Below are 15,306 nucleotides of genomic sequence, written 5' to 3' on the forward strand. Positions count from 1 at the left end.
TCTAATAACCTTAACACAGTGCATATCCGCACTCTATGTGCATAGGAATCCCCCTGAAGATCTTGTTTAAAATGCAGATTTTGATCTGGAGGTCTGGGGTGGGTGCAAGATTCTGCATTTCTAACAAGCTCTTAGGTGATGTCAGTGCTCCGGGTCAGTAGATCAACACTTCCATAGTGAGACCTTAGAGTCTGGACAACATCTGTTTACACTGGCCTCATAGTATTCTACCCTGAAATTCCAATAATCTCTTTACGCCCTGTTATTGGTTACCTCAAGTGTGTGAGATCAATTAGGCAGCTTTGGAACAAGAATAGGGACTAGAACTCAGGAGGTATCGTGAGAGGTCACGTAGACCCTCAAACGGCGGGCACCATTTACAGTCAGAACTGCGCTCCACACTTGTCTCAGGGGCCTCCCTCCTCCCGTCGCCTAGTCCGCAGTCCGCGTCTCGGGACTCAATTTCCCTGCGGGCCGTTCCCGCAAACTCCGCCCCGCCGCCGCTGCCGCGAAATCCCGGAGTGGATTTTGGGAAGGGGCGCGCGAGCGGCGCCCTGGGCATGCGCGAGCGCGTCCCGGGCCCGGCGAGTCGAGGGTTCAGGTGGTGCGCCGTGGCGCCGCCTGCGACCGGCAGCTCGTTCGCCGCACTTTGGAGGCTTCGGCTGCCCCTCCGACCCACGTAGGGCCCGGACCCGGGCCTCCTTGTGAACAGCGTGCCGGCTTCGCCCCACGGGTTCACCGGCTGGCTGGGCTTCAAGCGCCGAGGCCGCCGCAGTGACCCCGCCCCCGGGCCGAGGATGTGAGGCGGGCCGGGCGTCCCCACACCGGGCCCGGGCGCCGGGAGTGGGCGTCTGGGCAGCGCCAGGCGATGGCCCTGCTGCTGGTGCTCCTCGCCTCTTGGGGCCTGGGGCAGTGAGGGGGCCGGCGGGCGTGGGCCGAGTGGCCGCGGGCGCCATGGAGGGGGTGCTGTACAAGTGGACCAACTATCTGAGCGGTGAGTGGCCGTGCCGGGCCGGGGGCGCGCCGGGGGCCGGTCCTTTGTCTGCGCGGCTGGAGGGCGGTGTCTGGACCCGTCTTAGGGAGGGGGTCACGGCCCTTTCCTGAGGCCAGCGCGGAGCGGGAGTATTTCCCAAAGCAGTTCTCTCACGGGACCGTGTCGCCGTGCAGGACGACACGGCCCTCTCTTGGGGTTGGTTAAGAGCTGTGGCTGCCCTTTCGCTTCAAGGAAGGCTACAAAGACTGAGATTTTGGGTGACTTGAAAGGCACGGTGCTCTTGATGTCAGCGGGAGGAAGGCGCAGACGCCCCGCCGTGGGGTTCTCTGGGAATCTCTTGAATTTTGGCGAAGGAACCGTACTCCCTTGGCTCGCAGCTAGGTTGGAAGGTTTCAAAAGAATGCCAGCAGTAACCTGGAATTCCACAGCGGAAAGATCCTTTATCAAAGTCCTCAGTGCAAACACTTTCCCTTTGTCACCTTCAGAGTCATCTGCGTGCACACCAGGGTGTCAAGAGTCCCAACTCCACAGTTTCAAAGCTCTGCACAAGGTTTTTTATTTTCTCGTTGAGCATTTCCTTTTGTTTTACAGACTCAGAAATTACCGTTAAATGAATGCAAATATTTGCAACTTTCTTGCCGTGCCTTACAGATTGGCTTTAAAATAGTCCCCGCCCTTTTTTTCTAGTTTGTGGAGGTAAAAGCTTCATATCTTGAGAAGGTTGTAACTGTTCTACAGCTGTGAAAATTATTCAGAACGATCATTTTTGTCATGTGTGCAACTAGTATTTAATACAAGCCTACTATATGCTGGAAACTGTGCTAGCCACTTTTTTGGAAGTAAACTTTTTATCACAGAAAATGAATTAGGTCTTTAAAATTTTAAAGGCAGTGTGTTTGAAAGCAGAAATGTTCCCAGTATCCCTTAGAGTGGGTGAGAGACGTTTTCTTTCTTTTGTGGGATAGTTTTTAAAAGGTTGTAGTATGGTAATGCGCCGGGTGTTTTAAGAATGGGTGTGTGTGGGAGGATCAGTTGGCATACATAGTAACTTCGAGGAGGTCACACAGCACAGCCAAAGGTGCCCCTATTGGGCGTACCCAGAATCTCTTCCCTTTGCTTAGTGTAATTAGCAGTGAGTTCACCTGTTTATTTTTTTTCTGTAATCATTAATAGAGACTAAATGAGAAGAGGTTTTTCTTGTTTGCGTCAAGGACCTTCAGTGATGTCTGCAATTAGATTAGATGAGAATAACTCAAAGCTAGGCTTTGGTTTGGTGGATGACAGAGGCTGATCAACACTGCTAACCTAAGGGGAGGAGGCTCGACCTGGCAGTTTTCCTTCTGAGGTCTCTCTAAGCTCTCAGATGCATATACTTGAGTAAAATTTAGTTCCTGATCCTTCACTCCTTTCCATTACACACACTTTTTTTCATTCATCTTCAACATTCTTCTTTTTTTCCCATTCTTCCCCATCCCCAACTTTTTTTGTTGTTTTGTGGGGTTTTTTCCCCCTCTTTTCCTTCTCCTTTCTATATAGAAAGTTTAGTCTCTTGATACAGTAACTATTTCCTGGTAGTGAAATGCTTTTGCTGTTGTTGTTGCTGACTGTCCTTGTGTATCCTTCAATAAAGCAGAACTCTCTAGAAGGATCTTTTGGAATCTTTGTTATTTGATTCCTATCTGTTCTGTTGGAAAAGAGTCTACTTTTTTCTTCCCAAAGTAAGAGAAGTTAATGCTGTGAGTGGTGCTAGGGTGGAAACCCTGAAGAAGAGGGCACTGGAGCCATTGCCAGAGACAGCTGTCTCTACGTGATGCTGCTTGTTCCCTTAGCCCACGTGCCCCGTCCTTGTAGGCATACTGTTCATAGAAGCCCATCACACCACTGGGTATTTTCCAGATATACATAGAATGATGGTTCGGCATATTCTCTCCTTTTAGGAGATAAATTTACTTGGGAAAGAAGTGGTAATAGCCTAGGAGGATCACATGCATTCTTGTTTCCTCCACCCTCCACTTTTCTACTTGTTCTTCGGAAGTGAGCATGTTGTGTTAGTGACAAGTTACTTTTTCTTTTTCTGAAGCTTGTTTTAAAAAGTAACTTTTTTTTTCTTGTAGGTTTGCACATACTAACTTTAAAATACATACAATCCCAATCCAAGTTTTTGTTCATTCTGAATTTTTCTCCAAAGGTAGTACGTAACCCATGCCTCTGTATGGTTTGTGTATTTGTCATGCTGACAGCTTGATATGGGATGCCTTGTGTCAAATTTGAGTGAAGTTAGGAAATCAGTTTATCACTTGGTCTTTTGAATCCTTAGGGGATGTTGTTAATTTCATTTACCATCTACTGTGCTAGGCACAGGGGAAGCAATGTTGAACAAAGCCCATGCCCTTCTTGAGCCTACAGTCTGGTGGGGGAAGAAAGATATTTATTGGTTAAGTGGTTAGAACCATGTTTCATTGTGTGTGATTGATTGGGGAGGAGGGAGGGCAGAGAGGCTAGTACGGGTTGTTAGAGAAAGCTTCTTTGAGGAAAAATTTAAGCAGAGTCTGAAGGATAAATCAAGCTGTTAATAGTTCGCTGGAGAGGCCAAGGCAGAGGTGTAGTTAGAGGAAATAAAGAAGAACTTTTCAGGCACAGGGAATGCCAGTGTCAAGGCCCCAAAGCAGAATGGAGACGTGCGAGTTTGAGGAAAGGAAAGAGGACCCATCTGGCTGAGAGCTGAGGAGAGTGAGGCTCCAACAAAGATGCAGGGGTGTGCGGGAGGCTAGATATTTCAGGGCCTCATAGGCTGGTTTAAACACTGTGATGTGATTGTGTGTGTGCATGTGGGTACATGCATGCATGCGTCTGTGAGAGAGAAATGATGAGATTGTTTAAAAGCTTACTCTGGCTTTAGCGTAGCGTAGAACATTTTCTGGTTACATCTTTATATCTCTCCTGCTGCATTTATTGTACTTCACTAAATACTATGTATTATTATTTTGTGAGCTTCTTTTGCCTCTTGAATTTTAAATCGATAGGTATTAATTACTGAAAGTTAGAATTCATCAAGCCCTGATAATAGCGTCTGAGGTTTATGTGAGTGTATTTCTAGAAGAGAAAAGAAGTCTCTTCCCTTAAATGCTAAGCGTATTCAGGTACTCTATCCTCCTTCAATGAAAAATACAAAAAAAAAAAAGTTTACATGTATTTTCGTTTACAGTCTGGTTTCATCCTGCCTTTTGGACATTCCGGGATTTAGTGCCAGTACCTTTCTTTAGATGTTAGAAGATTAAACTTGGGATGAAGAGAGTAAATTAAAAACATGTTACAGATTCCCACATTGTGTGAGACATACTTCTAAAGAAGCACTGTGTTTGTTATTTGTGTCTTTCAAGACCTAAAATTTAGTCAAGGAGTATTATACATGTAGGGCTACACATTAATACTCTAGAACGCTGGTTCAGGAGTCAGAGAGACCTGAAGCCTGGCAAACAGCCCTATTACTGCCAACTGCAGGGTCACTTTAGCATCCTGAGCCTTAGTATCTTCCTCCATTTAAAATAATGGGATTTACTAGTTTATAATTGTAAGAACTGTTAAAAATTTATTAGTACTTACAATGTGCCAAGCACTTTTCTAAACATTTTACATGGATTAACTCAGTCTTTGCAGCAATTTCAAAAAACAGTTGCCTTTATTATGCCCATTTTCCAGATGAAGACACTGAGATATAGAGACGTGGGTTTGCTGAAGGTCACACAGCCACTTATTAAGTGGCTTCAGAGTCAGTGCTCCATTAGACAATACTTTTAAAGGTCCTTCTTGCTTGATCATTATGTAATTCTAGCTGATTCATAATGTACCTATATTTAAAGTATGTTTGACCTAGAATAGCAGACTATTTCGGGGGTGGGAAGTGGGGAGGAATTCAGAAGTGAAGAAAGCTTTGACTGCCCAATGTTGTGCATATGTTTTGCCACGAGGAAATTTTCTAACCTGTGCTTTCTACTTTGTAGTTTTAGGTCCTTTTCCTGCCCACTCAGCTGATAGGAGGGCTGCTGTTGTGAACTCCAGCCAGCCGAAGGCTGCTTGTGCCTCTCCAGCAGGTTAAAGCTCAAGCACATTGCATTACTGCATTCTGAAAATAACAAAAGCCTGCATCATACTGGCCAGATGGTTTTCATTAAGGATGTGCTATAATTTTGTTTCCCCTCAGGTGGAGGAAGGTGACTCTTGCCCTATATACTATATATACTAGTGCTGTGTAAACAGTACCAGGAAGACATCTGGAGTATGAGGATTCTTGGTTTCACAACCACTGGTCAACCCTTTTTGTTGTTGTTAACATTTTAACATCTTTATGGAGATAATTCATAAACCATAAAATTCATCCATTTAAAATGTACAAGTCAGTGATTTTAGTATATATAAAAAGTGTAACTATTACCATGATCAATTTTAGAACATTTTCATTATCCCAGAAAGAAACCCAGTACCCATTAGCAGTCACTCCTACACCTACACCTGCCCTTCACTGTTGGCAACCACTAATCTGTCTGCACAGATTTGCCTCTTCTAGGCAGTTTATATAAATGGAATTATATAATATGTGGTCTTTTGTGGCTGGCTGCTTTCCCGTAGCATAATGTTTTTTTTGGATAGCATGTATCAGAACTTCATTCCTTTTTATTACCAAATAATATTTCATTGTATATGTATACCATATTTAGTTTATCCATTTTCAGTTGAAGAACATTTGGATTGGGCTGTTCTTTTTGTTTTTGTTTTTCTTGGTTATTATGAAATAACACTGCTGTGAACACTCATGTACAAGTTTTTGTATAGACATGATTTCATTTCTCTTGGATATCTATAATACCTAGGAGTGGAATTGCTGGAGTCCTATGATAACTCTTTATTTAATAATTTGAGAGACTACCAAATAGTTTTCCAAAGTGACTGCACCATTTTACATTCTCGTCAGTAATCAAAGAAGTTTCCGTCTTCACATTCTCATCAACCTCATTATCGTCTTAGTATAGCTATCCTAGTAGTGGATGTGAAATGATATCTCATGGTTTTGATTTATATTTCTCTGACTTAATGATGTTGATTATCTTTTTATATGCTGATTATCCATTTGTATATCTATTTGGAAAAATGTCTGCATTTTTTGCCCATTTGTTTGGGTTATTTTTTCATTACAGAGTTGTAAGAGGTTTCTTTTTTTTTTTTTTTTTTTTTTTTTTTTTTTTGAGACAGAGTCTTACTCTGTCACCCAGGCTGGAGTGCAGTGGTGTGATCTCCGCCTCCCGAGTTCAAGCAATTCTCCTGCCTCAGCCTCCTGAGTACCTAGGACTACAGGTGTGTGCCACCATGCCTGGCTAATTTTTTGTGTTTTTAGTAGAGATGGGGTTTCACTATGTTGGCCAGGCTGGTCCGAACTCCTGACCTCAGGTGATCCGCCTGCCTCGGCCTCCCAAAGTGCTAGGATTACAGGTGTGAGCCACTGTGCCCGGCCAAGAGTTCTTTATTCTGGATATAAGTTCCTTGTTAGATAGATGATTTGCAAATACAGTTGACCCATGAATAATGCAGGAGTTGGGGCACCAATCCCCACAGTCAAAAGTCTGCATGTAACTTTCGATTCCCCCAAAATCTTAACCAGTAGCCTGCGAATAACCAAAAGCCTTATGAATAACTTTAACAATTAACACATATGTTATGTCATATGTGTCGTATACTGCATTCCTACAATAAAGTAAGCTAAAGAAAGGGTTATGAAGAAAATGATAAGGAAGAGAAAATACATTTACTGTTCATTAAGTGGAAGTGGGTCATTGTAAAGGTCTTCATCCTTGCTGTCTTCACATTGAGGAGGCAGAGGAAGAGGAAGAGGAGGGGTTGGTTTTGCTATCTCAGGGTAGCAGAAGTGGAAGAAAATCCGCATGTGCACGGTTGAAATTCAAACCCATGGTATGCAAGGATCAACTGTATTTTCTTTTCTGTAGGTTGTCTTTTTCATTTTCTTCCTGGTATCATTTGCAACACAAAAGTTTTAAATTTTGATGTAGTCTGATTTATCAATTTTTTCTTTTCTTGTTTGTTTTTGGTGTTACATTATCTTAGGAAACCATTGCCAAACCTAAGGTCATGAAGATTTACCCTTAAGGCTTTAAAAATAGTTTTTAGTGCTTACATTTAATTCTCATCCATTTTGAATTAATTTTTGTGTACGATATGAGGTAAGAGTACAGCTTTTTTTTTTCACATAGATATTCAATACTCAACTCTTTACGATGTAATCTATGGTTTCAGTGATAAAGTCACAAGCCAGCATTGCACCAATTCTTAAGTGTAAAAGGTTGGAGTCAGAGAGCCCTGAGTTTGAACTTTTGCCCCACTACTTAGTAGTGCTAATACCTTGAGCAAGTTACTTAATCTTCCTGAGTCTCAGTTTTAAAATGACAGCAATAATAATAGCTGTACCTAGGTTTGTTAAGAATATGTAATGGATATTGAGCTTACTGTTAGCAGTTTCTGGGTCGTGCCCATTAGTGTCAGACACTCTGCAGACATGCTCCACTGTGTACCAGGCAGGTTCATAGTTCACTTTAAGGGTAGGTTAATTAGATCACTGTTTTGATTAATGATGCCCAGAAAATTTAGTCTCTGTGTATTCAGCTTTCTATTTGCAAATTGTGGTTCCTCATGGATTCTTTTTCATATAATTATTGGCCATTGCTGTCTCTTCCATTGTGAAGTGTCTGTTCAAATCTTTAACCTATTTTTAAAAGTTAATTGTTCTTTTTATTATTGAGTTGTGAGAGCTCTTTATATATTCTTATTTACTTATTTATTTATTTATTTATTTTGAGATGGAGTGTTGCTCTGTCGCCCAGGCTGGAGTGCAGTGGCACAATGTCGGCTCACTGCAACCTTCGCCTCCCGGGTTCAAGCAGTTCTCTACCTCAGCCTCCCAAGTAGCTGGGATTACAGGCGCCTGCCACCAAGCCCGGCTGATTTTTTTTTGTATTTTTAGTAGAGATGAGGTTTCACCATGTTGGCTAGGCTGGTCTTGAACTCCTGACCTCGTGATCCACCCTTCTTGGCCTCCCAAAGTGTTGGGATTACAGGCATGAGCCACCTCGCCCGGCCATATATTCTTAATTAAAATTCCATTGTAGACCAGGCATGGTGGCTCACACCTGTAATGCCAACACTTTGGGAGGCCGACATGGGCAGATCGCTTGAGGCCAGGAGTTTGAGACCAGCCTGGCCAACATGGTGAAGCCCCGTCTCTACTAAAAATACAAAAATTAGCTGGGCGTGATGGCACACGACTGTAATCCCAGCTACTTGGGAGGCTGAGGCACCAGAGTCGTTTGAACCCAGAAGGTGGAGGTTGCAGTGAGCTAAGGGGTTGCAGTGAGCCAAGATCACACCTGTGTTCCAGCCTGGGCAACAGAACGAGACTCTGTTGCAAATAAATAAATAGATAGATAGATAGATAGAGTGAGACTGTGTCTCAGATAGATAGATGGATAGATGGGTGACAGAGCAAGACTGTCACAAATAGATAGTGTAAGATTCTGTCTCAGGTAGATAGGATAGGATAGAATAGATAGATAGATAGATAGATAGATAGATAGATAGATAGATAGATAGATAGATAGATTAGATAGAGAAATAATGCCCAGAGGAATTAAGTAGTGTCCTTAAGATGACATACCTGGATGTTATGAGTCTGAACTTAAACCATGGTTTCCTCACTCCGTTGTTTTAAGGTGCTGGTAGGACATATGAGAAGCACTGTGCAGAACAAATAAATATTTAGTTTGGTAGCTCAAAGTGCACAGGAGAGGTGACCTACATCTTCTAGCAGAAGGTTTTAAAGAGAATTTGATATAATCTATTGTAATTATAGTCTTCTTACCATCTACATGGTAGACTCTCCAGTAGTCTGTCACTCCTTGAGGCTGGGATCTTTTCTCTAAATCTCCAAACCTGGCAAACTACAACTGCTCAGAAAATGCTTTGTGAATTAATTAATGGTAAATTAAGAAGCCTATAATTTAGCTAATGCTTGGGTAACTGTTACAATGAGGAGTGTTTCTTCATTCTTCCCTCCTCCCTAGCTACAACAGAACTCTTAACTGACTGACCTGGCAGAGGAACCCAAGGCTTTGCTGTCCGCATCCCTGTCTGGAACTCCCCTAGAGAAGCTGAGTGGGGGAGGGCTCTAATGGGATGAGGTGTGGCTGAGCGCTTAGGTTGGATATTGGAAAACACCAAGGCTATGGAGGTCAGGGGTAGCAAATTAATTGCTCTGCTTTGCTTCAATTTAAAATGGTAGATTATTTCACTATTAACATATCTATATAGCATACATAATATATGATATGATAATATATATGGGTTATGAACGTAGAAACCATAATTTATAATGAATAAATTGTCTTGACTCAACATTTCAGATTGTCAGTCCTATCAAGACATTTAATTTCACTTTTTTTTTCTTGGCATTAGTTACTTTCTCTGTTTTTATTTAAAAAAATTTGTTTGGAAACAGGGTCTCGCTATGTTGCCCAAGCTGGTCTTGAACTCCTGGCCTCAACTGATCCTTCTGCCTCATGAGCCACTGTACCTGGCAGTTACTATCTCTTGAATCAGATTCTGGGAAAGATGGGAGTTTTCTGTTATTTTGTATTAGGATAGGTTTTGAAAGCTGAGAGAGACTTCTAGGCATCATCTAAACTCCAGCTGAAATTTTGTAGAAAAGGAAACTAAAGCTGAAAGAAGTTTAGGGACTTAACCTTTTCTTTCTCCCATTCTGTTCCCCCTTTATTATGGTCACTAATTTTTCCTCTTATTGTTAATGAAAAAGCACCTTTCCTTCACTTTTTTTCTTTACTTTTGGCTAACTTTTCTAGAAAGAGTTTAAATAGTCCCTTTTCATTTTTTTTTTCTGCATTTCTACACAACAGTAGTTCTTATGGATTTTTTTTCTTTTAGTCTTGAACTTTAAGTTCAGGGGTACATGTGCAGGTTTGTTACATAGATAAATGTGTGCCATGGTCATTTGCTGTACAGATCATCCCATCACCTAGGTATTAAGCCCAGCATTCATTAATTTTTCCTGATCCTCTTCCTCCCCCAACCCCCTCTTAAGGATTTTAAAAATTCACAATATGTTAAATTTTTAATTGTTTTTCCTGTTAAACAGTAAGATTATGAACTTCTGCTTTCCTAGAACACCTTAATTTTTAAGGCAAAAGTTCTGAAGGAACTGTGGCGGACTTAAAGGCAGAATGATACACTCTAGCATGAGGCTAACTAGTAGGCATTCTACTAGTTGTTTATTTAAGAGTCATTATTGGGCCAAGATGTAATAAGCCCATTGTAATGATTACAATAAAAAACTGAACAAAATACAACAGTAGAATATTGCATTTTTTTCAAATGCACATGGAACATTCACCAAGATAGACCATGTTCTGAGCTATAATAGAAACCTTGCCAAAACTTGTTAAAAGAATGTTCTGTGTCTTTAATAGAAGTAAACTACAGATTAGTAACAGATGTAGAGAATCCCCTGAAATATTAGGAAATTAAACAGTACACTTCAGAGTAGCTCGTGGGTCAAAGAGAAGGTCTCCAAGAAAATTGGGAAATATTTTGAACTTAAAATGAAAGCACAACAGTGGTTGGCCAAGGGTAAAGGGAGAGGGGAAGGCTTGATCAGAAAGGAGTAATACAAGGGAATTTTGGGGACAATTTTGGTAGAATGGAATTTTCTGTATCTTGATTATTGCGGTGGTTATTAAAGGACTATGCATTTATCAAAACTCAGAATTGTTCGCCAAATAATGAATTTTATTTTATGTAATTTTTAAAACTTTTAAGTGTCTGTTTAATGGAGTACAGTTTTTCATAGTGATGTGTTTGGATGAGCCACTTGTCACAAGGCTGCTGAAAGAAAAATGAAGGGAAGCTACAGTACTTTCTAGTCAGAAGTGGGTTTGACTCACAAGTAATTACTTTTGGTTTGGATCTTTAAGGGAACAGGAACATCTCCATTTAGAAATTTTGACTTAAAAATGGTGGTTGCTGTTGGGAAATTAAAAAAAAAAAAAGAAATTTTAGTGTAAAATTAACATGAGGTATGCCAGTTTAGATCCAAATATAAGTGCATTTCTTGAAGAAAATTATGCTCATTGAAAACGTGTTGTTCAACATTAATTGAACTGAAAAGTCCTTTGGCTAAGATTTTTTAAAAGTAAATTTTACACAGTTTGTTCATTAAGTGTAGAAAGGCGTTTGCACTATGTGAGAAAAGAATAAGCTGGTAGCAGTTTTGGAATAGTGGTTTTTAAATCTTTAATTTCTTTGAACAATGATTTGTAGTTTTCAGTGAAAAACTTATTTTTAAAAATTTATTCTTGGCCAGGTGCGGTGGCTCACACCTGTAATCCTAGCACTTTTGGAAGGCCGAGGTGGGTGGATCACCTGAGGTCAGGAGTTCGAGAACAGCCTGGCCAACAAGATGAAAGCCCGTCTCTACTAAAAATACAAAAATTAGCCGAGTGTGCTGGCGGGCGCCTGTAATCCCCACTACTCAGGAGGCTAAGGCAGGAGAATCGCTTGAACTCGGGAGGCGGAGATGGCAGTGAGCTGAGGTCACGCTGTTGCACTCCAGCCTGGGCAACAAGAGTGAAACTCTGTCTCAAAGTAAACTAAAATGAAATAAAATAAGATTTATTCTTAAGTAGTTTATTCTTTTTGATGTTATCGTAAATGGATTTGTTTTCTAACTTTCATTTTCAGATTTTTCATTGCAACTGTACAGAAATACAATTTTAATTGTATGTTAGTCTTGTATCCTATCACCTTGCTGAACTCATTTATTCTAATAGGTTTTTTTTAGTGGCTTCCTTGCATTTTGTTTTTGTTTAAATATATAAGAGCATGTCTGTGAGTAGAGCTAGGTTTGCTTCTTTCTTTCCAATCTAGATGTCTTTTATTTCACTTATTGACTAAGAGCTAGGTTTGCTTCTTTCTTTCCAATCTAGATGTCTTTTATTTCACTTATTGACTAATTGCCTTGGCTAGAACCTTTAGTACAATGTTGACTAGAAGTGGTAAAAGCAAACATCTTGTCTTGTTTCCAATCTTTGAGGGGAAGCATCCTGTTTTTCACCTTATACACATTAACTATGGGTTCTTTGTAGATGCCTTTATCAGGTTGAAGAAGTTCTCTTCTAAGTTTGTTAGGTGTTTTTATTATGAAAGGGTGTTAGATTTTTGTCAAGTGCTTTTTGTACGTTTAGTGAGATGATCATGTGATAGTTTAGAGCTTTTGTGTTTGCAGAAAGACCCAGTTCACACAGGCTTAAAGTAAAAAGGGATATTTATTGGTTCATTTAATGGAAAAATCTAGGGGGTGTCTTACCTTCAGGAATGATGTGGGCTGATCAGGGGGTTCAAACAATGTCATCCAGATTTTCTTCCTTCTCCTTCTGTCCCTCAAATCCTTCCAGTTCCATTTCCCTTTGTGTGTGAATCATGTTTAGGTCCCATGTGATGGCAAACTGCTGCAGGCAGCTGCAGGCTAACATTCTTAAGACCAAAGAAAAAAGAAACAGTCCCCATTTCTTTATGCCTTTCCCCAGTCCCAGCAAAAGTCCCAGAATTGTCTCCGGTTGGGCCACTTGCCCATTCTGGAACTATCATTGAGGATAGGGGATGTGAAGCTTCATTTAGGCCTAAATCACATACCCACCCTGGAGCTGGTCACCCCCACCCAAACCTCATGGTTGGAGTGTGAAGAAGGGAGTTTTCATCAATGGAAAAGTACTAGGTAAATGCTGGATTGCCAAAAATAAATGTCAAGTATGCTTTCTGTAGTGAAACAATCCAGGATAATACAAAGCGTATGAAATTGGTATTTAAATACTCTTTTTTTTTTACCCGCTACCCCGTCCCTGGCAATGATAGCTAATACGAGCTAAAACTCTCCCCTGCTCATTGAAGTTTTATGTCTAATCCTTCCCAGCAGGGAATTTGGGTGATACCACATTGCATCTGTAATAGAGGATGGCATAAAAGAGGGTGGAGATTGGATAGGAAGATAGTCTAGTGGTCATCTAAGGGAGCAGGGAGTAGTACAGACCAACAGTTTTCATCTGCCCTTTAGTTACCTTGACTGATCATTTCTGAGATAACTGCAGATTAATTTAAAATAGAAACTGGATTAATGGTCTCTTTTTCATCCATGCCTCTTTTCTCTACAATTCATCATTCCTGGGCTGTATCCCAGTTTCCCAGCACTGGACATTATGAAAGACCAGTGTGTCCTAATACTAATCTGAACTCTCTCCATCACTCTGCATTTAAATTTTGTCTAATAGGAATGAGATTTCTCTGGTCTCTTACTGTGCCTTTTGAAACTGCAAGAATTTTGTGCTTATAAGAAAAGTTTTTCTTGGTCACAGTTTGTGTAGTTACAAAGGACAGAATAAAATTGCCATATATTGAACATCCCTTGTATAATTATAACCTACCCTAGGTAAATACAGAACCTGTTATAAGGAAGGTAATATTTCAGTTGCTATTATAATTTACCAGCTACATTTTTTTTTTTTTTTTTTTTGAGACAAGGTCTCACTCTCACCCAGGCTGGAGTGCAGTGGCGTGATCATAGCTCACTGTAGTCTCGAACTCCTAGGCTCAAGCAGTCCTCCTGCCTCAGGTGCATCACCTTGCCCAGCTAGTTTTTAAAATTTTTTGTTGAGACAGGGTCTCACTATGTTGACTAGGCTGGTTTTGAACTCCCAGCCTCAAGCAGTTGTCCTGCCTCAGTCTCCTAAAGTGCTGGGATTACAGGAGTGAACCACGGAGCCCAGCCTTCAAGCTGCTTTCAAAATTTACTGCAGCTGTGCTTTGGGTGGGGTTGAGAGCTGCTCTTCAACATTTTTCAGATTCTTGTAAGATAAAACTAGTTTAGTACATTTTTTTCAGTTTTAGGACACTCTTTTTTTTTCACATTTCAACAACTCTGAAATCAAGAAGCATCTTAGAACCTGTGCTATGTCATTGTTTAATTGGTAGAGTTTTTTTCTTTCTTGTGTCATGTAAAATAATGGTGTGTCTTAAAATTGATGATGTGATGGTTTATTCTGGTTGGATCTGTAAGGATGTTGTGGAGGCGATTAACATTTGAATCAATAGACCTTATAAAGTAGATTGCCCTTCCTAATGTGGATGAGCCTTATCCAATCAGTTAAAGACTTGAAGAGAACAAAAAGACTGAGTAACAGAGAATTCCTCCTGCGACTGCCTTGAGCTGAGACATTGGCCTTTTCTAGCTTTCATTGGTTCTTCTTGGGTCTTGAGCCTGCTAGCATGGAACTTAACCGTGAGCTCTCCTGGCTTGCTGATTGCAGATCTTGGGACTTCTCAGTCTCTAGTCACATGAGCTAGTTACTTAAAATTTCATTACATGCACACATACCCACTCACACACCCTTATAATATCTTTACACAGACACCCTGACACTCTACTGGTTCTTTTTCTCTGGATAACACTCACAAATACAGATGGGTCTTAAATTTGATAAAATACAGTAATTGAGGCTGTTCTAAATGCCTTCTACACAAAAGTCATGGTGGATTTGGGGAGTGTTCACACCAACCAGCATCATGGGAGTTGAGCTGTTCACACCAGCCAGCGTCATGGGAGTGAAAAGATGCTGTTGTTCTATACCAGGACAGCTTTCTGGGAATGGGGAGCCAAGGTTTGGGAGCTTTTGTGCCTCAAGGGGCAGTACAGAAAGATAGAGTTTTCTTCCCAGCTCTGTTGTGTACTTCCTTTGTGACCCTAATTAGGTCACTTAATTTACCTGGGATTGGTTTCCTTATCTATAAAATGTGCTGGTTGGACTGTGTGATTTCAAAGACCTCTTCCTTTTCTCAGGTTCTCAGAAATTGACTCTTCTGTTTCAGTGAGGGGAGGTGGCCTAAGATATAAATAAACACTTTTGCAAAGGGCTGAAACATCACCAATAATGTCTGACTCCTGGAGCACTGATTCTGTGCCCAACAAGATACAGTCTGAGGATTGATTTGGTTTTCCAGGTTGTAATGTTTGTACAGGAGTGGTGGCCTTCACAGTTGAGTTTTTGTAGAACTTGAAGCCAAGGTCTAGAAGCATCACCTTTTTTGTTTGTTTGTTTGTGACAAGGTCTCACTCTCACTCAGGTTGGAGTGCAGTGGCACAGTCATGGCTCACTGCAGCCTCGACCTTCCAGGCTCAAGCAGTCCTCTCA

General features: G+C 41.0%; 1 protein-coding gene across 10 annotated transcripts in view, besides 2 other annotated features; it reads left to right on the plus strand.

Moving 5' to 3' along the window:
• Positions 604 to 15,306, plus strand: part of PLEKHA8 (pleckstrin homology domain containing A8) — a 102,072-nt gene continuing 87,369 nt past the window's right edge. For all 10 annotated transcript variants that reach the window (NM_001350973.2, NM_001350974.2, NM_001350975.2 and 7 more), the window contains exon 1: positions 604 to 994. In NM_001350973.2, the coding sequence (NP_001337902.1) occupies positions 955 to 994 (40 nt within the window). In that variant the 5' untranslated portion in view covers positions 604 to 954. The remainder of the gene's footprint in view (positions 995 to 15,306) is intronic.
• Positions 716 to 1,045: a silencer, noted in NCBI's record as "silent region_18053". NCBI's record gives its function as "represses an Ori minimal core promoter by ATAC-STARR-seq in GM12878 lymphoblastoid cells {active_cell/tissue: GM12878}" and the evidence as "EXISTENCE:reporter gene assay evidence [ECO:0000049][PMID:35858748]".
• Positions 1,206 to 1,325: an enhancer, noted in NCBI's record as "active region_25804". NCBI's record gives its function as "activates an Ori minimal core promoter by ATAC-STARR-seq in GM12878 lymphoblastoid cells {active_cell/tissue: GM12878}" and the evidence as "EXISTENCE:reporter gene assay evidence [ECO:0000049][PMID:35858748]".

Source organism: Homo sapiens, chromosome 7 (assembly GCF_000001405.40).
Source record: "Homo sapiens chromosome 7, GRCh38.p14 Primary Assembly".
Classification (NCBI taxonomy): domain Eukaryota; kingdom Metazoa; phylum Chordata; class Mammalia; order Primates; family Hominidae; genus Homo; species Homo sapiens.